This window comes from Homo sapiens, chromosome 4 (assembly GCF_000001405.40).
Source record: "Homo sapiens chromosome 4, GRCh38.p14 Primary Assembly".
NCBI lineage: Eukaryota > Metazoa > Chordata > Mammalia > Primates > Hominidae > Homo > Homo sapiens.
This window is the reverse complement of record NC_000004.12, coordinates 7,592,038-7,614,758: the sequence shown is the minus strand read 5'-3', so window position 1 is coordinate 7,614,758 and position 22,721 is coordinate 7,592,038. Positions and strand designations below refer to the sequence as shown.

At 52.3% G+C, this 22,721-nt stretch overlaps 1 protein-coding gene across 8 annotated transcripts in view, besides 1 other annotated feature; it reads right to left on the bottom strand.

Annotated features, from left to right (window-relative positions):
• The window catches only part of SORCS2 (sortilin related VPS10 domain containing receptor 2), a 550,290-nt gene that overhangs the window by 128,069 nt on the left and 399,500 nt on the right, over positions 1–22,721 (bottom strand). The window lies entirely within an intron of this gene.
• Positions 20,770–21,667: an enhancer, noted in NCBI's record as "H3K4me1 hESC enhancer chr4:7594819-7595716 (GRCh37/hg19 assembly coordinates)". NCBI's record gives its function as "activates a minimal SCP1, AML or CMV promoter by ChIP-STARR-seq in primed H9 embryonic stem cells {active_cell/tissue: H9 hESC(primed)}" and the evidence as "EXISTENCE:reporter gene assay evidence [ECO:0000049][PMID:30033119]".

Here is a 22,721-nt window from a genome sequence, read left to right as displayed (position 1 = left end):
ATGGTTGGATGAATAGGTGGATGGATAGATGGATTGATGGGTGGGTGGTGGATGGGTGGATAGGTGGATGGATAGATGGATTGATGGGTGGGTGGTGGATGGGTGGATAGGTGGATGGATAAATGGATTGATGGGTGGATGGTGGATAGGTGGATAGGTGGATGGGTGGATGGATTCATGATGGATGGATGGATGGACAGTGGATGAGAGGATGGATAAATGCATGGTGGAAGAGTGGATGAATAGATGGGTGGGTGGATGAATGGATGGTGGATGCGTGGATGGGTTATGGATTATGGGTGAATGGATGGATTATGGGTGAATGGATGGTAAATAGGTGGATGGATGAATGGATTGATGGGTGGATGGTGGAAAGGTGGATGGGTGGATGGATTCATGGTGGATGGATGGATGAACAGTAGATGAGAGGATGGATAAGTGGATGGTGGAAGAGTGGATGAATAGATGGATGGGTGAGTGGATGGGTGGATGGATGAGTGGATGGGTGGACGGATAGGTGGATTATGGGGGAATGGATGGTGAATAGGTGGATGAATAGGTGGATGGATGAATGGATTGATGGGTGGATGGTGGATGGGTGGATGGGTAGAGGGATGGATGGGATGGATGGACAGTGGGTAAGAGGATGGATGAATGGATGGTGATGGGTGGGTGGATGAATGGATCGTGGTTGGTGGATAGGTGGATGGATAAATGGATTATGGGTGAATGATGGTGAATGGGTGTATGATTGATGAATAGGTGGATGGATAGATGGATTGATGGATGGCTGGTGGATGGGTGGATAATGAATGAATGAATGGATGAGTGAACGGATGTTTGATGAGTGGATAGGTGGATAGATGGATGGTGAATGAATGGATGGTGAATGGGTATATGGGTAGATGGCGGATGAGTGAATGGATAGGTGGATGGATAAATGGATGGAAAGATAGATTGGTAGACACATGGTAGATGGGTGGATGGATGAACTGCAAGTGTAAGGATGGTAGGGCTTAGGCTGGCCATCCAGGGCCTCACACCTGGGCATTCAGTAGCAGCTTACACTAGGAAATCGATGAGAGAGTGTGGAATCGGTTGTCCAGTGTGGGAGATATCTCCACAAGCAGTGTCTCCACGGGTCATTCTTGGTGAGCCATGTGAGGTGCATGTGCTTCTTTGTTCTTTAGTGGGCCACTTTCTCCAAGGCTAACTTTGGAGTTATCCTCACATGGGGCCCAGAGTGCTCCTTAGTTGCTAGACATGCCTTATTACACCTCAGTGAATGGGGACTTATTGCTTCTGGGTGGAGGGCGGCCCAGGCCTACCCTGCTTCCCTTGACATTCTCAGCTGGGTCCCTGCAGTGCTGGCAGCTTCCTGGCACCTGGCCACGCAGAGCCCCGCTGAACAGACAGCGCCCGCGACTCTTCCTCAATCACTCTCATCTGTCTCATTCGTTAGTTTATTGGGCCTCCTTGCATTTTTTTCTGCAGACGTAGAGTATCAACAAATGTATTTAATTTCTCAGTGGGAACCAGGAAGACCTATTTTGGGCAGCAGACCTAGGCTGGGATGCCCCGATGCTTGTTCAGCCCTTCACCAAATGCTCCCTCTGCCTGGAAGGCTGACACCTCCTTCAGAGGAGAGATGTCTGTGAGCTCTGCAGGCCTACAGGCCTGGGACCTCAAGTTCCTGGTAGGCAGAGCCTGTGGCTCCTCCCCGCAGAAAGAGGTGGAGAGAGAGGGGCTTGCAGTCAGTTGGGGAGAGCACTGGCCCGAGAGCCAGTCCCTGCTGTTGGCCTTGGCCCTTGCCCGGCTCGAAGAATGGCGTCTCCTCCCCCAGCCCTTCTTCTTGTTCCCCTCCCATCTCCTCCCACTACCTGTCCCCTCCAAAGCTAAGCAGTCACTTTTCAGGTGCCTGCTGTGGGCCAGGCTTTGTACCAGGCCTAACGTTCATTCTCTCCCACGTCCGCGAAGCTCCTGTGGGGTGGGATTATACAGCATAATAGAGTGTGCATGGATTGGAATTCTCTGTGGCAACATGAACAGTTGTTATTGACATTGATCCCTTCCAGCAGACCAGGCCCCAGAAAGAAGGCTGAGGCAGGTGGCAAGAGCTCCTGCAGGAGCCGAGCACACCCAGCCGAGTCACTGCGTGGGGCCCAGGGGAGCAGGGCAGGCTGGGGTCTTAGTGGGTTCAAGTAGAGGCCCCTGGTGGGCTGGGGACTGGTTCCCCCAGCCCAAGCCCGGCCACACCCCATGTAGTGTTACCGGTGACTCAGGCAGAGGCCTGTCCTTAAGGAGATGGAGATGAACCCAGACCCCCGACCCCCATCGTGGCCAGAAGGACCGAGGGAGCAGGCAGCCGGAGGGCACGGCAGGGTGCCTGGGATGTGGCGGAGGCGTGTGTCCTAGCTCTACTGGGAGAGTTGTCCCACCCTGTCTCCATGCCCTTCTCCTTCCCCCCAGACCCAAGCCACCGTCCTTTCACCCCTGTGACCTCCCAAAAGCCATTTTGGATTCCTGTTGTGTCCTGTCTGAGTGATCTCATTGTTTTCAGGATGAAACTCCCGCATCCTGGCTGATGATGCTCAGTTTTACCTCCCCAGCCTTCTGAGCTCCGGAAACTCGGCCCGTCAGCCTCCAGCACCTCCACCCAGGCCCCATGACTCCTCCCACAGCCCCTGCAAAGCTACATGTGTCACCTTCCGCTGTCCTCTTCTGTCCCACACCACATTCCCCATCACATCAGATGAAACCGGAACCCACGGCAGAGCCCAGAGCTGGGCATGGGGCCGATCCTTCCTCAGCACCTCACTGGCCTCCCTGGCCTCTCGGCATGGATCCACAGAGCCTGAGCCAGGGCTCGGCAAGCCTGTCTGGAGAGGACCAGCTTTGCAGGCCTATGGCCTCTGTCCTAACAGCACCAGTGCAGCCCCTGACAATGTGTAAGCAAGTGTATGAGGCTGGGTGCCAGCAAGAGGCATTCACGGGCACTGAAACTGAATTCCATGTCATTTTCATGTGCCATGGAGGATTCCTATTCTTCTCATTTTTGCAACTATTGAATTTTTCCCCAAGCATTTAAAAACCTAACAACCAGTTTTACCTGCGGCTACGTGGAAACAAATCCTGACATATTGGGCAGTGGACAAAGCCATGAGGGTCCCCACTTCTTGGGGCTCACCTTCAGGGGGCCCTGAAGGCTGACACCTTGGGTGATGTTTCAGATCCACATGAAGACATGAACAATGGATGACAAACCAGAGACCTGCTCCCAACAGCTCCTGGGCTGGGCACCGTGCTGGGCAGTCTCAGGGTGCTGGTCGGCCGGTTTCCCTTGGGGCTGAGAGGGCGGAAGGAATCTATGTGCAGGTAGGTCCCATGACTGTCCAACTGCACCCAACCCCACTCATCTCAGCCAGGACTTGAGCCTGGTCTCTCTGGCTTCATGGTCTACACTCCTTGGATTTTGCTAACTTCCAAGCTGCAGCTTCATCCAACACCCAGAAGAAGGCCAGGAAGCCCCAGCTCCACCTGCAAGGTGCTGAGGTCATGGTTTCTGCCTTTACCAGCTAAAGTCTTTCAGAAAGAGCTGTCACTGGCTCCATGTGGGCTTTTGCTTTTCACAGCCTCAGTAGCTGCAGTGGGCGCCCATGTAGACGTGTGGGTGCTGGGCTGCATGGTGGCTGCAGGCCATCCTGCTTAGTTCTGTGGTGCCAGATGGGCAGTGCCACCCTCCGTTCTCAGTGTCTGTGTGTCTGCACGCGTGCGGGAGTGGGCTGATGCCTGGAGATGTTGATGAATGGCCAGTAACTAAATGACTGAATCTGAAAGTCCCTGGCACCAAGACCTGCCCATCACGGGGAGCCCCTGCTTGGAAATCCTCCTTGCCTTCCCCTTCCCCATCCCCGTCCACAGGATCGGGGCTGCTCTTCCACCCACCTTGGCTCCCGGGACTTTACCAATCGTAGTGCTGACTGCACTGGACTATCCTCTACTTACTTGTTGGCCCCTTTGTTAGATCAATTGCTCCTGACCCTTTTGGTTCTAAACCATTTAAGAATCTGATGGAATCAACAGATTTGCTGCCTAGAAAAACCGAGCACAGAATGTGCCCCCTCCACACCACTCTGCCTGCATTTTTAAGGTACTTAAGGACCCCCCCAAGCCCCACCCCAGGTGGAAAGACCTCAGCTATGGCCCGGCTGTTTCTTGAGACAAGGGCAGGTCTGCTCGTCTGCGTCCCCGGCCCGGTGTTGACTCTGCCAATGTGCCATGCAATGAACCCGGGGGGCCTCGTGCAGAGCTCCCCTGGAGTGACAGTGGAGGTATGCACAGACAGGGGTGGGCTGGGGGCCCTGGTGGAGGACAGGGTCCCATGGAGATAAGGAAACACCAGTCCTCTGGAGCTCAGCCCACATCCTCGTCCCTCATGAGTGTCCTCATTTAACTGGCAACTTGACACCAGCATCTCACGTGTGGAGAGGACACATGTGGCAGGGAGGGGTGGGCGTGACTCCCACAAAGTCCCTCTCCAACAATCTCCCATTCCAACCGCGGCTAATTGCATCTTCGGAACACATTTGCTGTTCAGTAGTTTCAGAGCTGATAAGATTTCCCCCCAATTCCCTGGCATTGTGAACTTTACTCAGCGCGTCCTGCAGTAATTAGTCTGGGGGCCCCAAGGTGACGGTCTGGGGAGAGGGTGTTAGTGAGCTAATCATCAACCTCATGATTGAAAACTGGCCTGTGGATGATTACGGTCAGACATTCACTGGCGCTATCCGCCCCGAGCACAACTGCCAAGGAATGAAGGAAAATAGGGTGCCCGGCTGCATTCGCTAAAAATAAAATGCAAAGTGCAGGGCAGATGGCATTGGAGTTTGGGGTTAGGCAGACTCCACACACTGAGCAGAGGGGCTGACCACTGATACACAAGAGACAAGTCACCATGAGAGTGCGCAGCGGAGACCCTTGTCATCCCAAGGCCCATCCGGAGGTCCCGGGTCATGGGGGCGGTGGGGGTGGGTGGCTTGAACAGTTCCTGAGCCGCTCTCTGGAGCTCACGTCCACCTTCCCCGTCACACTGGCCCTGGGACCCTTCCATTCTGGTCATTTATGTGCCAGGCCCTAGGCCAAGGACACAGAGCAGGACGTGTTCCCTGCCTTCTGCAAGGCTCACAGTCTGGAGGAGGAGGAAAACCTTTCTCACATGGCAGAGAGAGGACTGACCAAGGAGAAACCACAGGGGCTGGACGGGGGAGGTCACAGAGGAGGGTCTGAATTGGCAGTTGACGAGGGCTGAGGATGGCTGAGAACAGGTCTGGCCGGGTGGGCTGTATAGAGGCGCCTTGACTGCCACATTGATCCACAGGGCAGTGCCTCCAGGTAAGCACGGAGCTATGAGGAAGAGAAACGGTGCTAACAGAAACTTTGGCTGGTTTAGAATTTACTGTATGTAAGGCACTGAAAGATTTTAACCAATGTATTCCTTTCAAAGTTCTGCAAGGCAAGGATTGTTACTCACCTTGAAAAGGAAAAACAAACAAATGAAAAACAACAACAACAACAAAACCAAGTTCAGAGAGGTTAAGCATCAGAGCCCAAGCCCACACAGCCAGTGAGTAGAGTCTGACCCCACGCCTGTGCCCTTAACCCTTCACCAGCCCCTCATGCAGCCTGAGTGTTAGTGCTTTTAGTGGGACTGCCTGAGACTCCCCAGGACCGCTCAGAACCTCATGTTCACCCCTATTGTCCACTGCAGGCCTGGGCACAGAGGGATTTGGGAAGTGACTTTGGAAAGGATGACTAGTGCTCGGCTAGTGCCTGATGCTGGCCCTGGTGTGTTCACATATGAGCGGCTCCCTTTGAATGGGAGCTCCCTGAGGGCAGGACTGTGACAAATCCTGCCCGGCCCCAAGCAGAATCTGGTACAGATCAGATGCTCGGCAAATGCTGAGCCACAGACAACAGAAGGTGTGCAAGCCAAGTTGATGTGATGTCCCTGGAGCGGGAAGCCTGTGGGCATGACCGGAGGGCAGCCCACAGATGGCACAGAAGCCTGGCATCAGGTCCTGGGGACTGGGGCTGCCAGTGGGCACCTCCAGGTGCTGGCTGCCTCTGTCCCTGTCACTGAGTGCCCTGTCCCTGGCTGGCAAGCATCTTGAACACCTCTTCCTGGGAGCCTGTGTGGGATGCCCACTTCCCTCATGTTTGTCAGAAAGGATCTGGGCTTCTGCTGAACTGATATTTTTCAGTGACAGCTACATGCCAGGTGTTGTCCTGGGAAACAAGGGGCTCAGCAAGTAAGTGACAGAGATGGCCCCTGGTATGTGGAGCTTGAGTTCTGTGTCAATAAGCCAGGGCACGGTAATGAGCAAGGTAGCTTCAGGTGGTCAAAGGGCCCTGACGATGATGAAACTGAGTGACGTGGTCCGGAGATCCTGGGGTGTGCAATCCGGCAGCCTTCTCTGAGGAGTGGCAATTGAACCTTATCATTTCCATTTCCTGCCAGCCCCACTGCCATCTGCTAGGTGGCAGCTCTGCCAGGGAGCATGGCAGGCAGGAAGTGACGAGGGAGGCTGGTGTGTAAATACCCACACTCCTGCTCTGGTGGGACAACTGCGTGTGCCATACACTAGCTCCCAGGGGTGCCCAGAGGGACTAAGTGCTGACTATTGGGCACTGTGGAGGCCTCCTTCTCTTCTTGGTGCCATGCCCTGGCAGGGCATGGCATGTCCTAAACACGGTATTTGTCTGCAAATCCTCATTTCAGGTTCTGCTTCTGCGAGAGCCCAAACCAAAGCACAGGGGAACCGCAACTCACTCACGGCCAGCCGGGGACTGTGACTTCAAGGATGCCACCAAGACGCTCTGGGGTCCAGGCTGATGCGGTAGAGACAGCCCTGGGGCTGGGGGCTGAGGAGCACCTATCTCTGCTACTCATTGGCCATGTGATCCTGGGAATGTGACTTTCCTCTTGAACACTGACCCCCTCATCAACAAGCATGGGAACTATGCTGCTCTGAGATTCCATCTGCTCTGAACTCCTGGGTGGCCCAGGGAAGAGAGCCAGAAAGACTTGGCAGGATTCTCAGGACTACCCATGACTGGATGCAGTTGCCTTGGGGAAAAGGCTGCTTCCTTCCATGAGCCCCAATCTTGTCTGTGAGGTGGACAAAATTGTTATTAATTATTGACACTCAGGGCTGTTGTAAGGATGAGATGGGCCATCGCTGTAACACCAGGTGCCCAAGAAGCGCTCAATGACAGGCAGGTGGGGCGGGAGGTCAAAGGGGGCTTATGGAGGGCTTCACGGAGGAAGAGTGGTAGGCGTTGAATCTGGAAGGTGGCGGGGCAGGCTGCAGAACAAAAATTCCCCGACGCACCCTCTCCACCTCCCCAGGAGGATCCACGTGGCTTCAGGACACAGCAAGTCTCCAAAAGCGTCTGCGTGGAGCATCTGTCTCAGATCCAAGTATTGAAATGCTGAACACATATTTTTATTTTCATGATTAAAAGGCCAAGGAGAGACAAATGATAACACAAGAAAGACAGAGAGATCAATTTTGAAGGTGGGAACCTGCAGCTTCATAAGCGTAACTCTTGTGGCCAGACCATGAAGTCAATGAAATACTAAAAGTTGATATCCATCATCAGGGTTTTATGTCGGCAAAGAGATGGCAGAAAAATTGACGGGGGCTTTCTGCCTCTGAGCTGAAGGCTGGTAGTGAAATCGCTTCAGAGAAAAAGCTTCATATAAAGTGTAGGACTTATCAGGTAACAAATTCAGAAACAGCTGTTGTCCCCACTCTGTTTATCTAGGAATGAAGTCAAAGGATCCTCAACAGCTCAGGGCCCTGTGACACTATTAGGTTGGTGCAAAAGTAATTATGGGTGCATTATTATAAAAATTGCCTGCCCGCATGTGCTACCCCTGGGGTCATCCACAGGGGCTCTGCCCTTGCTTCCTGATGGCATCGTCACCCACCCTCCTCTGCTTGAAGAATATAACTCCCAATACAGTCACACAGAATGGAGACCACACCGTCTAGCCTTCCCTGAAGCTCAGGGTGAACATATGCCCAAGAGCACAGGATAATGCAGACCCAAACAGGGCAAGTCCAGCCAGTACCCACAGAGGCGGCCCTCAAGGCACAGGACGCACCTCCCTGTTCCTGAGGAGGTTCAGGAGCTACATGTTCTTAGCAGCCCGACATCTGACAGAGGAGCTCTGGAAACTTCTGAGAGGAACAGGTGAAGCTTACAGGTCTGGGAGGTGACCGTTTGCAGCAGAAACGAAGGACAAGGAGTCGGAACGAGAAGCCAGGATACTGTGTAACTGTTTCAACAGTGGAATCAAAGTCGCTGGAGTCTGACGGCCACAGAGACGATCGTTGAATAAGTATTTAAGAATGCAATCCACAGTCAAATGGGTTTGAGTGGATATTCTCCATCGCTAAAAACAACCCTAGCTCTATTCTCCGGCAGGTTGTAAAGAGCAAATTGTTATTTACAGGAGCTCCTCACTGCAATAACTCTCCTGTAGCTCACCTTCAAAGAGTTGTCAGGTAAGATCTTTCCATCTAAGGCACTGAAACTCAGTCTTAAAGAGTAAGTTATTATCAAGAAGGGGTGGTTCATGGGAGCAGAAATGTTCAATGCTCGGAATTCAAGGAGTCCCCGTCTCCACTCATGCAACCGGCCAGAGCACCTCTCCCTGACGTGGTGTCCCCACGCTCCGGTGGCTCTTCTGTTCCCCCGTGTGGCTGCATGTGCATCCTTTCAGCATCTGTAACTTCACTGGTGCAGGTCCTGGGGGTCACCTCCACAGAGACCACCACCTGGGGGACTGTCTGTGGGCTTTGGAGGGTGTTCTCTGCTCACCACCCACTGGCTGCAGCCTCTGCTGGGGTGGGTCTCTGTAATCCAGCTGTTCCCCCTGCTCCTCACCCCCAAGACCCCCTCCCAGGACCAGCACCAAGCCACAGGTATGTGATGAATGTGTGGGGGAATGAAATGGAACAGAGAGCAGAGGCAGATGTGAAACAGCAAGGGATCCCAAAACATCCACCAGGGAGACGGCCTCTTTCTGGCAATATGGCAGCCTAAATACCATGCAGATCCTTCCCATGGGAAGGGAGCAATAGGGAAACAGCAATAAAGCTGGATTAAACACACCTTCAGATATTTCAAGGTGCACTGTTAAGCTTGCAAGAAAACAGGATTCTTTGGAGACCAAAACCCCAAGTGGAGGCAGAAATCCAGAGAGCTGAGCTAGCCCTGGGCCAGTGTCCTCTCCCTGCACCCCTGGAGTAGCAGGTGGCAGGTGCCCCCCAACACCTATCCTTTCCTCGAAGAACAGAACTCCCAATACAGCCATGTGGAATAGAGACTGCACCGTCTAACCTCCCCCGAAACTCAGGGTGAACATACACTCAATATGACCAAAGAATGCAAGCAGGAGTTCTGTGTGAAACACCTGAGAAGTGTCCTCAAAACCACCACCATGCCTTTCTTCACCCCTTTTCCTCCTTTCCAACGACTGGGATATGCAGACAATGGCTGGCACAGCTGCAGCTACTCTGGACCTTGTTGGAAGTGGAAGCCAGGCAGAGTGAGGTATAAAGAAGAAACATGGATCCCTCACACGAAGGAACATCAAACCAGTCCCATGCTGACCTCCTCCAGATTTCTGGATCCTGAGAGAGAAATACGCTTCTATCCTGATTAAGTCACTCTGGTTTGAGATTTTACATTATTCGTGGCTGAAATGAATCCTAACTCAGCGGGATATCTTGAAACTCTCTTTTGACATCTGCATGGGGTGTAGGGGTCAGGAGACAAATCCAAGGAGAGGAGCCAGCTTAGAAGAATCCCTCTGCCTGAAGCTGGGACCCCAGGGGGTGACATCTTTGTTGTAAGGATGAACTGGCCTTGTATTAGTCTGTTCTCACACTGCTATAAAGAAATACCCGAGACCAGGTAATTTATAAAGGAAAAAGTTTTAATTGACTCACAGTTCTGCATGGCTGGGCAGGCCTCGGGAAACTTACAGTCATGGCAGAAGGGGAAGCAGGCACCTTCTTCACAAGGCGACAGAAGAGAGAATGAATGTGGGCATAGGAACAACTATCGCTTTTAAAACCATCACCATAGGCCGGGCGCGGCGGCTCATGCCTGTAATCCCAGCACTTTGGGAGGCCGAGGCGGGGATGGAGACCATCCTGGCTAACACAGTGAAACCCCGTCTCTACTAAAAATACAAAAAATGAGCCGTGCGTGGTGGCGGGCACCTGTAGTGCCAGCTACTCAGGAGGCTGAGGCAGGAGAATGGCATAAACCCGGGAGGCGGAGCTTGCAGTGAGCCGAGATCGCGCCACTGCACTCCAGCCTGGGCGACAGAGCGAGACTCCGTCTCAAAAACAAACCAACAAACAAACATCACCATAGTGATCTTGTGAAACTCTCTCACTACCACGAGAACAGCATGGGGGAAACCACCCCTATGATCCACTCACTTCCCTCCCTCAACACGTGGGGATTCCAGGTTGAGATGAGATTTGGGTGGGGACACAGAGCCAAACCATATCAGTCCCTAAAGCCACCCTGTGGCCAGAGACCTGCCCATCTCTGCCTTGTTTGTGGTAGGAGGAGAAAAGTACACACACACACACCAGAGCCTCACACGACACACACACAGCAGTCACACACACCGTACAAGTCACACACAACACACAACAAACACACAACAGAGTCACACGCAACATAGTCACACATATGAATTTTACTAAAACTTAGTAAGTTTTTATTTATTAAAACTAAAAATATCTCCCAAAGATGTGTAAACTCGAGGCAGCCTTCTTACAGCTGCATGTGAGATCTAAAAACGCCAGGCTAGGAATTCCCTTTACCAGACCCCATGTTAGCAATGCTCCCAGGATTCCCCCAGAGGAGCACAGGTGTGACCCAGGCCTCAGAGAATCCCCGCAGATCAGGTTTCAAAGAGCATGATGACCTCACTATGAAAAATGACAAAATATACCAGGAAATGAGGCTCTGTAAGCAAGAACCACAGAAACAATAGAGAGAGGAATTAATTAGGCCCCCAAAGACTTTAAATATTGGACTTATCAGATAATGATGTTCACATGTTTAAAGAAATAAAGGTGAGAATAAAATATGAATAGGAACCAAAGACTTTAAAATAAACAGCTCTGAAAATGAGCCAAATATTGTTTCTAAAAATTAAGGACATCATAATTGAGGTTGAAAACAAAGGAAGCCAGGGAGAATTCTTGAGTGATATGGTACAGCTGAAGACATAACCAAGAATCACAGCACAGAAAACAGACGGAGAAAATCGGTCCACAAATCAGAACAGAGGATTTGCCATTTCAGAACCTCATTACAATCAATTTCAAAAGTTAAAGGAAACTTTTACAGAAAGATATCTGCATGCAAGAAGGAACAGGGAGAAAAGGTGTTAGGAAATATGGAGTGATCTAAACAAACACTGAGTTACAAATCAATAATAATGACGTTTAGCTCTCCCTCTCCCCCTCCCCCTCCCCCTCTCTTTCCATGGTCTCCCTCTCCCTCTCTCTCCATGGTCTCCCTCTGATGCCGAGCGGAGGCTGAACTGTAGTGCCGCCATCTCTGCTCACTGCAACCTCCCTGCCTGATTCTCCTGCCTCAGCCTGCGGAGTGCCTGCGATTGCAGGCGCACACCACCACGCCTGACTGGTTTTTGTATTTTTTTGGTGGAGACGGGGTTTTGCCATGTTGGTCGGGCTGGTCTCCAGCTCCTGACCGCGAGTGATCTGCCAGCTTCGGCCTCCCGAGGTGCCGGGATTGCAGACGGAGTCTCGCTCACTCAGTGCTCAATGTTGCCCAGGCTGGAGTGCAGTGGCGTGATCTCGGTTGGCTACAACCTCCACCTCCCAGCCGCCTGCCTTGGCCTCCCAAAGTGCCGAGATTGCAGCCTCTGCCCGGCCGCCACCCCGTCTGGGAAGTGAGGAGCGTCTCTGCCTGGCCGCCCATCGTCTGGGATGTGAGGAGCCCCTCTGCCCGGCCGCCCAGCCTGGGAAGTGAGGAGTGCCTCTTCCCGGCAGTCATCCCGTCAAGGAAGTGAGGAGCGCCTCTTCCCGGCAGTCATCCCGTCAAGGAAGTGAGGAGCGCCTCTTCCCGGCCGCCGCCATCCCATCTAGGAAGTGAGGAGCGTCTCTGCCCGGCCGCCCATCGTCTGAGATGTGGGGAGCGCCTCTGCCCCGCCGCCCCGTCTGGGATGTGAGGAGCGCCTCTGCCTGGCCGCGACCCTGTCTGGGAACTGAGGAGTGTCTCTGCCCGGCCGCCCCGTCTGAGAAGTGAGGAGCCCCTCCGCCCAGCAGCCGCCCCGTCTGGGAAGTGAGGAGCGTCTCCGCCCAGCAGCCGCCCCCTCCAGGAGGTGGGGGACAGCCCCCGCCCGGCCAGCCACCCCGTCCGGGAGGGAGGTGGGGGGCGCCTCTGCCTGGCCACCCCGTCTGGGAGGTGAGGGCCCCTCTGCCCGGCAGCCACCCCGTCTGGGAGGTGTACCCAGCAGCCCATTGAGAACGGGCCATGATGACGATGGCGGTTTTGTCGAGTGGAAGTGGGGGAAGTGTGGGGAAAGGAAAGAGAAACCAGATTGTTGCTGTGTCTGTGTAGAAAGAAGTAGACATGGGAGACTCCATTTTGTTCTGTACTAAGAAAAATTCTTCTGCCTTGGGATGCTGTTAATCTATGGCCTTACCCCCAACCCCGTGCTCTCTGAAACATGTGCTGTGTCCACTCAGGGTTAGATGGATTAAGGGCGGTGCAAGATGTGCTTTGTTAAACAGATGCTTGAAGGCAGCATGCTCGTTAAGAGTCATCACCGCTCCCTAATCTCACATACTCAGGGACACAAACACTGCGGAAGGCGGCAGGGTCCTCCGCCTAGGAAAACCAGAGACCTTTGTTCACATGTTTATCTGCTGACCTTCCCTCCACTATTGTCCTATGACCCTGCCAAATCCCCCTCTCCGAGAAACACCCAAGAATGATCAATAAATACTAAAAAAACAAACAAACAAACAAAAAACAAAGCTATGTTAAACTTTTTTTTTTTTTTTTTTTTTTTTGAGAGAGTCTTGCTTTGTCGCCCAGGCTAGAGTGCAGTGGTGTGATCTCAGCTCGCTGCAACCTGTGGCTCCTTAGCTAAAGCAATCCTCCCACCTCAGCCTCCTGAGTAGCTGGGACTACGGGCATGCAGCACCATACCCAGCTAAACATATGAGGTTAAAATGTAGAGAGTATAATAATGACCCTGCTTTTTTGAATAGCTCACTATCTAGTGAAAAACAACCTTAAAAGAGTTCTACAAATGTTTAAGTTGCACTACTACTGTTTGAATAAAGATATTGCTTGATAACTTAAAAAAAAAAATGAGGTTTAATTTGGGGAGTTTAAAAAAAGATACAACTAAAATCCTAGGCAAAACAGCATCTAAATCAAAGCTGGTTTTTTGGAGTTAAAATATCCTAAGGGAGGCCTTTGCATTATTTAAGAGGAAGATAAAGATACTTATTCACTCCAAACTTCATTAAGCAGTCTATTAAAACTTCTAGGATAAAACTAAAAGACTAGGTCAGGAGTTCGAGACCAGGAAACACGGCGAAACCCTGTTCCTGCTAAAAATACAAAAATTAGCCAGGCATGGTGGCAGGCACCTGTAATCCCAGCTACTCAGGAGGCTGAGGCAGGAGGATCACTTGAACCCGGGAGATGGAGGTTGCAGTGAGCTGAGACCATGCCATTGCCCACCAGCCTGGGCTGTTAATTAGAGCAAACCCTAAAATATAAGGACAGAGGAACATTAAAACTGAAAAGATAGGGAAAGTTATACCAGGCAAAAACTAACAAAGTAAACTAGTGTATCTCCATAAGTCTCATACGAAAGAGATTTGAAGACAAAATATTTGCTAGGGAGATAAAAGTTGCTAATATAATGACAGAACGATTTGATTTACAAGAAATACATAATATATAGCATTTTAATCGTGTGTGTGTGTGTGTGTGTGTGTGTGTGTGTGTGTGTGTGTATATATATATGTATATCGTAATCTAAAAACGCCAGGCTAGGAATTCCCTCTACCGGACCCCGGGTTAGCAATGCTCCCAGGTTTCCCCAGAGGAGCACAGGTGCAACCCAGGCCTCTGCCTCCCCTGCCAGCCGGGACTGGGAGCCGATTGGTGTGGCCCCTCCTAAACCTGTCTCCCGCGATCAACATCCACGCAGAGCACAGCGGGCTTGGGTGGGGACGGTGCTGTTTCTGAGGCTGCACAGAAGCACTCGTGCCAAGCGCCTGGCATGTGGATCACTGCTTCTAGAGGGAAGCCTCCACGCTGTGGGGGTTCCTCGTACTGTAGCAGCGACACCTTGATTTTGGCCCAGTGACACCCATTTTGGACAACTGACTCCAGCATGGTAAGATAAATGCGTGTTGTTTCAAGCCCCTAAGCTTGTGGTAAGCTGTGACAGCAGCTGGTTCCACCTTTGATCAAATTAGAAGCTAAAGAAAGAGGGTTACACAAACACCCTCATGCTTTTAAACCTTTAGAAAACCTACTCCACCAGGCTGGGTGTGGTGGCTCATGGCTGTAATCCCAGCAGTTTGGGAGGCCAAGGTGGGTGGATCACTTGAGGTCAGGAGTTCAAGATCAGCCTGGTCAACATGATGAAACCCTGTCTCTACTAAATATAAAAATTAGCTGGTTGTGGTGGCACAGACCTGTAACCCCAGCTCCTTGGGAGGCTGAGGCGTGAGAATTGCTTGAACTTGGGAGGCGGAGGCTGTAGTGAGCTGATATCATGCTACTTCACTCTAGCCTGGGTGACACAGCAAGACTCTGTCTCAATAAAAAAAAAAAAAAAGAAAAAAGAAAACCCACCCCACAGCTCTTAGGATGAAGCTCTAGGGCAAAGATCCCACGCCCTGCACACCCAGCCCACACCTGCCCTGCAATTTCACCTCTCACAGCCCCTCGTCATCCATGCTGTATTCCAGGGACACTCAGAGGGAGGCGAGACCTGCCCCCGCTGTGCCAGAATCACAGGAAGAGACACCTGAATGGAACCGGGTGTGTGGGACACGTGTGCAGTTTGCAGGGAAGCAGGGACAGACGTCAACAGCAGCCAAGGTGTTCGTGGTGTCAGGAGCTGGCTTCGTGATCCAGGCATGGGGCCTGGGGTTATCCAACTTCCCCTTTGAAGGCACCAGCGGCCACCCGTCTCTGCATGACAGCACCACCTCCTAAACCTGTCTCCCAAAGATCAACATCTGCACGGAGCACACCGGGCTTGGCGGGGGACGGTGCTGTTTCTGAGGCTGCAGAGAAGCACCCGTGCCAAGTGCCTGGCACGTGGATCACCGCCACTTCAGTCCTCACCCGTGCTCTAGGGGAGACCACACCAGTTGGCTCCCAGTCCTGGCTGGCAGGGGAGCAGAGGCTGAAGGGCAGAAGGGGCCTTCTGGGGTCAGGCTGACTTCACTCAGGAACTCAAGAGCTGTGGAGATCTCGGGTGAGCTGGGGCCGCCGTCTTGCAGGGCGGCCATGAGAAGCCTGCGGAAGGAAGGACTTGTTCCCTCTTGACTTAACAGCCCTTGTGTTCTTGGAGGATGGGTCTCAACAAGGCTCCACTCAGGCAAGCAACCTCTCATCGGCCCACTTCTCCCGGCTGCCTCCTCAAGAGCCCTTGCTTCAACCCTGCCGCCTGCAAGGGCATCGGCACCGTGCAATGGAAAACAACAGCCAGGCTGTGGCCAGCAAGGCCCCCATGGCACACTGCAGGGCTCCTCGTGCTGCGGCAGTGACACCTTAACCATAGGACACAGAGCTCAGCATGAGCACAGCCTGGGGGGGAGAACACAGCCCCTGTCCCCACCCCCAACACCATCACCTTATGTGTGGATTATGGTGGCCTTTGGACTGCACTTCTGGAGGTTGAAGAATATTATGTCTATTGGAAGACAGAAGCCATTGCGTGAGGTTTTCATGGGGAAAGCTTAGGTAAGATTGGCAAGAAGGAGGTTTCTATGGCAGAAAAGCACAAGCGAGGGGCACACAGCCACCACCCGCCTCCTCTTCCCATGCCTCCTGCATTGCCCCCCACACAGCCGCCATGCCTTGCCCAAGGTAGGAGTTTTTCATGGACATCTATCCATCCACCCATAGGAGGAGTTTCCCACATGTGGAGTTGTGACACATGATCACAGCGGAGGGAGAAGGGGCTAATCAGCTCCTACATCAATGCAGGGACTAGATAAAGACATGTCCCCACTGTGACCTTATTGCTTTGGCAGCAAGGTGAGCCCCTCAGAAGCCCCTGCCTCTCAGAAGCACGGAACCTCTCTGGGGCATCATCGGGCAGCCTAGGACAAAGCCAGCCCCAGCCCTCCACCTCCTCACTCTGTTTCATAAAAGCTTAGCTGGCCTGGCACAGTGGCTCACGCCTGTAATCCCAGCACTTTGGAAGGCTGAGGCAGGCAGATCACGAGGTCAGGAGTTCAAGACCAGCCTGGCCAACATGGTGAAACCCCGTCTCTTCTAAAAATACAAAAATTAGCCGGGCAGGGTGGCTTACGCCTGTAATCCCAACTACTCAGAAGGCTGAGGCAGGAGAATCATTTGAACCTGGGAGACAGAGGTTGCAGTGAGCCAAGATCGTGCCATTGCACTCCAGCCTGGGCAACAGGGCAAGACTCCATATTAAAAAAAAAAAAAAAAAAAAAAAAGATTAGCTGAACTGTCATCCCCACTGACCATCCTGGACACCAGTTCCCCTCCTCAATGGCCCTTCCTGGGAATCCGCTGACCACAGAGCAGAACGCAGCTCTCACCCCTCCTCCCTCACCAGTTCCACGGAGCTTTTGCTTCCCAATGAAAGAAAACTCCTTTCTGCCTGACCTTTGAGCTGCTTATAGATCTCAATGTCGAATGTTCCTCTTACTGCAATAGCCCCCTCTTCCATTGCAATAGCCTCTCCCCCCTTGCAATATCCTCCTTCCCATTGTGTAGCCCCTCCCTCTATGGCAGAGCCCCCTCCCATTACAATAGCCCCCTTCCCTTTAACAATAACCACCTGCCCCAGTTGCAAAAGCCCCTCCCTTATTGCAACAGCCCCTTCCCCTATTGCAACAGCTCCTTCCCTATTGCAATAGCCCCCCGCCATTGTGTAACCTCTCATTGCATGTCCCCCTCCCCTATTGCAATAGCCCCCTCCTATTGCGATAGTCCTCTTCCCTATTGCAGTAACCTCCTCCCCACTGCAATAGCCCTCTCCTATTGCAACAGCCCCTCCTCTATTGCACAGCCTCTCCTATTGCACAGCCCCCTCTCTCATTTCAATAGTCCCCTTCCCTATTACAACAGTCCCTTCCCCATTGCAAGAGCCCCATCTCCGATTGCAATCGCCCCTCCTCTATTGCGTAGTCCCTCCCCCTATTGCGTAGCCTCCTTCCCTATTGCAATAGCCTCCTTCCCTATTGCAATAGCCCCCTCTTCCATTGTAATAGCCCCTCCCCTACTACCATAACCCCCTCCCCTATTGGATAGTCCCCTCCCCTATTGCAATAGCCTCCTCCCTTATTTCAACAGTCTTTTCAAGTCTTTCCTTACCTAAGCCTGCATTGATTTTTTATCTCACGGAGGAAGCCAGCCCCCAGGCACAGAGAGGTGGCACTTTCACGATTGCACAACCGCATCATGGCTCTTGGTGGTTTTCTGCTTAGCTTTTTCCAGATTCAAAGAGCTGAGCCCCTTACTCTTTCACCCCCAACCCCAGGATTTCCTGTGAGACCTTCATGATCTGAATGTGGCTGCTTTCTAGGTCTCTCCACTGAAGTCCCTCTGCCTGCTCACTGCGTGGCCTGAGCAGTCCAAGCCCCTCCTAGGCTCCATTTCCTGAAACATGAAAGCCCCTTGCACCTCAAGGGTACCTGGTGGGTGCTCAGAGAACAGAGAGCCCTGGGTGCCCAATGGAGAAACTTCCACCCTCGCCCTGCCAGGAGGTGCTAAAGGAAGCTGGCTCTTGACCGATTTCCAAAGGAACGCAGATTTCTCCTGGAATGTCCTTTGCAAATTACGTTAAAAGAAATTAACTAGCTTGTCTGAAGGGGATGGAAATGGGTTTTAGCACGAAAGGAGATAAATTTTGAAAGAACAGTTTCTTCTAGCCCAATTTAACTCATAATTGGGTATCTTTTTGAGCCTGCTAATTAAACAGCATTTTCCCTGAGTCAAAAAATGGAGTCTTGGCACCTGAAGGGCACTTTGCAGACAGAATCTGACATGCAGGTCTAGCGAGTCCCTATAAAAAGCAGCATGAGTCAAAAGCACACTGTCGGCACTTCAACCAGAAAATGAAGCTCTCTTTGCAGAGGGGAGCCGCTAACCACACCGTCTACCATGCCAGCCAAGCTGGCCATTGTGAATCTCACCGGAATCCTCAAAGCTCTCTTCCCTATTTTTGGACATCCTAGATTGCATATCTCTATACAAGGCTCACAAATCTATTCTATCGTATACTTATTTCTGCCTCACACAGTGTGGCATTGTCTTATGTCTTCCGATAGCAGCAGACACTGGATCCAAAGACACAACAGGATGCTGAGTCAAATTTGTGAGGATGAGTGCTGCCTCACGCCAGCTAGAACCATGGTTTGTGAGGATGCAGTCTCAATGAGAAACCGCGGGTTGCCGTGGCAGGAATGCAGGCTGGGGAAAGGGAAAGAGCAGCTGTCAGGCATGTTCCCATTCCCCATGGGGCCAGGGGACTGCAGACCCCAGACCAAGAGCCCCACTGAGGTCAGAGTCCGCGTCGGGCTTGTCCACCACAGAATATTCAGGTGACGGTGCCTGGTGCCTAGAAAGTGCTTGAGAAACATTCTTAATGCATTAATACTAGAGTCAGAACCACTGTCCCTACCCATCCAGGTTGATGAAATCACAGAACCAGGGCAGCAAATCTGAACTGAACACTGAGTAAGTGCCAGGCCCTGTGCACAGGACATCCCTGGCCTGTGGCAAAAGAAGAAATAGATATTTGGTCTCTGGTCTCTGTCCCGGTTCCTGGCACACAGCTCCTAGGACCCTTGGAATCTCCAGAGTGACAAGAGTGACAAGAACGTCTTTCGTATGGTAATGAGATGGCTGGTGCGGGGCGGGGGTGGGGAGTGGTGGAGACAGCTTTGGGATGGGGATTGGTACCCAGAAGGACCAAGGCAGGGTTAGAGTTTTGGGGCTTTCAGCCCTAACCCCTGACCTCTGGGGAGGGAAGAGGGGTTGGAGATGGAGTTAGTCACCAATGGCCAGTGACTTAATCCACCGTGCCTACGTAATGAAGCCCCCACAAACCCCCTAGATGAGGGGGTTGGAGAGCTTCTGGGTTGGTGAACACAGATGTGCTTCGAGGGTGGCACGGCTGGAGAGGATGTGGCAGCTTTCACCCCATGCCCTGCCTCGTGCCTCTCTTCCTCTGTTGCTGAGTTGTATCCATAATAAACCGGTAATAGCAAGGAAACTGCTCTCCTGAGTTCTGTGTGGCGAATTACTACACACGAGGAGGAGGCCGTGAAACCCCCTGAGTTTTGACCCAATCCAGCAGAAGTGCCAGCCTGGACTTGTGACTGGCATCTGCAGCGGGAACAGTCATGGGGGACCGAGCCTGGATCTGATAGTAAGTCAAGGTGGATGGTGTCAGAATTGAACTGAGCTGTGGGACACCCAGCTGGCATTGCAGAGGTGGAGATGTGTTGCAAAAGACATTTTGGTATCAGAGTGTTGTGAGTAAACGCAGTTGAGGCACCACCTCAAGTTCAGAGCCAATCAATGGATTTGCTGCTACTATTATGCTGGTTTACAGATGAGGAAATTGAGGCACACCGAGACTGTGACCCTCGCCCCATCGTGGATGAGCATTGAACAGCGGTGGAAGCGTGGTCCAGACCCAGATGTTGAACTCCAAGACACCCACTCATAGACACTAAGACTCTGCCCCAAACACCTGTGTGTGGCCAGAGTTGAAGAGGAAGCCCCTCTTGACACTGTAAATTAGGGGCTTCCTAAATTAGGAAGGGAGGGAGAGAAGGAGGAAGGGCACTGAGCCCAGAGTCCTAGAGCCAGGATGCGCCCTGGGCAGGTCTGTTTGCTGTGGGTCCCATCCTATGAATCTCTGATCTCACACCCACCCCGGAGCAGGCAGGACAGTGCCAAGGAGGGGAGCAGGCCCACCCGGGGCTTCCAGCCAAGCAAGAAGCTTACCCTTCCTCGGGCAGCAGCTGCCTGCTGGCTATGTGTGTGTGCTGAGGGAGAGGGAAAGACCTCCATCCATTCTGTAATTTCCAAAAGTTGCATTCCCGTTATTTCCCACTCCAGGCCACTTGCAGACACTGTGGCACACACCGTGGCAGGTGACAAGCTTTTATGATCGCGGGACCTGCCACAGCCGCAGAGGTAGCTGATGGCCCTCATCCTACAGACAGGAATACACCGAGGCCAGAGCACTTCCCGAGGCAGCAGGGGGCAGAGTACCAGCTCTCGCCCTGACAGCCTAGTCCACCCTTCACTGTGTTGTTTATTCCTCTAGAGCCTGGGGGCATTGTGAGGGCAGGAATTGGGTGCTTTCATTTTGGTATCACCAGACCTAGCCCAGGTCCTGGCAGACAGACGTGCTCAAGAGAGGCTCAATAAATGAACTAACTAAAAATGGCCTCCCAGTGGAGGGTGTCAGGATGGATTTCAATAAATGCCCATTTGGTCTTCATTTCCCATAACAAGAGCACTTTGGTTGATGACTAATGAGTCTCCGAGTAGCGCCTTCTTCTGCCAGGGCTCCCGAGAGGGGCAGAGGTATCGCCGGAGTTGATGAGTTTAACCATAATGACAATATTATTCATTCGAAATTGGGCAATTTCTGTAAAGTAAGTTACAGCCGCTCAGCTGCAGTGGTCCTGTGCTGGCTGGCAAGCGGCACCCCTGCCTGTAACTGCCAACATCTGCTCCGGCTTCCCATTACCCGCCTGGGGCCGCCCCCACCCCCGCCCCCAGGTTGGCCAGGTTTCGGCTGGGCTCTGAGCAGCAGCAGCACCACCTGGAACACAGCAGCCACTGAGGCTCGGCCAGGCACGAAGACGGAAGAGCCACTGCCTGGAACATGAGAGTGTGGGGACAGGGGAGGAAGGGCCTTGGAAGGGGAGCAGGACATCCGGGTCTCTCATGGCCCTTGCTAGATGGACAGTCCCTCTGCCAGGAGGCGGTCCTGCCCTTTGACTGCAGGCACCTGTCACAGCCTGCTTTCCAATGAAGACTGCAACAGTACCTCCCGCCTCACCTGCTCTGCTGCAGGTGACCTGGCTGCTCCCCTGTTAAACAGCAGAGTCTATTTCCATTCCAGATTCTAGGCTGATCTTAGCTACTTCTTTGGCCAAAAGATTGCAGCAGAAAGTGATGCCCTGGGACTCCCGAGGCTCCACTGGCCATAAGAAGCCTTGCACTTCTACCTGACCCTGTTGGTTTTGTTTGTTTGTTTTTTGAAACAGGGCCTTGCTCTGTTGTCCAGGCTGGAGTGCAGGGGTGCGATCATGGCTCACTGCAACCTCAACCTCCTGACTGCCACCATATGTGAGACCCCAAGCAAAAGCCTTCTGGCTGAGCCCTATCAACCCATAAATTATATAGGTTTTAACAATAAATTGGTGTTTCAAGCCAGTAGGGTTTGGGATACGTTGTCACACACACAGCAGTAGATTAACCCAAGCAGCACCTCCATAGCATGCACCTTCAAGTGGAGAAATTATTAGCATTTGCTTTACAACTACTATGAGCCAGGCATTCTGGTTGGTGGTTTATGTCATTCATTCATTCATTCATTCAATCATTCAACAAATCTCAATGTTGTGAGGTAGGGATTACATTTGAGAATGCATAGGCTAGGTTTTGCTGCCAATCCACCCTGAAGTCCCAGCAACCCATCACCACAATGGCTTCTGTCTCACTCATGCTATTTGTCCATAGTGGGTTGGCACAGCCCTGCTCCACACAGTCATTCGGGGACCCCATGTAACAGAAGCTCCATCTCAGTTGTTGAGACGGGGAGAGACCGCAGATTTGCATGTGGACTTTTCATGGTCCTAGCCTGAAGTGACTGTCACCACTGACTCCCCCGTGGCACTGGCCAGAGCTAGTCACATGGCCATGCCTTGCTGTAAGGGGGCTGGGGAAGACGGTTGTTCAGATAGCCAGAAAGAAGGGAGCTGGGTGCTGGTGAGCACTGGTCATGCTGTCCACTGAGACTTTCTCCCGTTTCTTGAATGAGGACACCAACGCTCAGAGCCTAAGCTCATTACTGCAGTCACCAGGGCGAGTAAGGCAACTGTAGAACCGGCCTATTTGGTTCCAAAATACCAGCGTGCCCAGATCCAGCCTGGATTTGTTAAAAAAAATAATAATAATTAGAGCAGCAGCTGTGGATGAAAGTGGGTAGTTGGGGGAGCCCACAAAAATAATGACCAGGCAAGGCCGCCATAAACAACAGAGACTTGAATAAAATGAAAGGGGCTTTGTCGAGAGAGCCAAACTCGAAGCGTATCTTTTTCAAGTATAAAGGGGAGAAGCTCAGGGCTCATGTGGTGCTTAAAAGCCCCCAAATGAAAGCCTCGGCG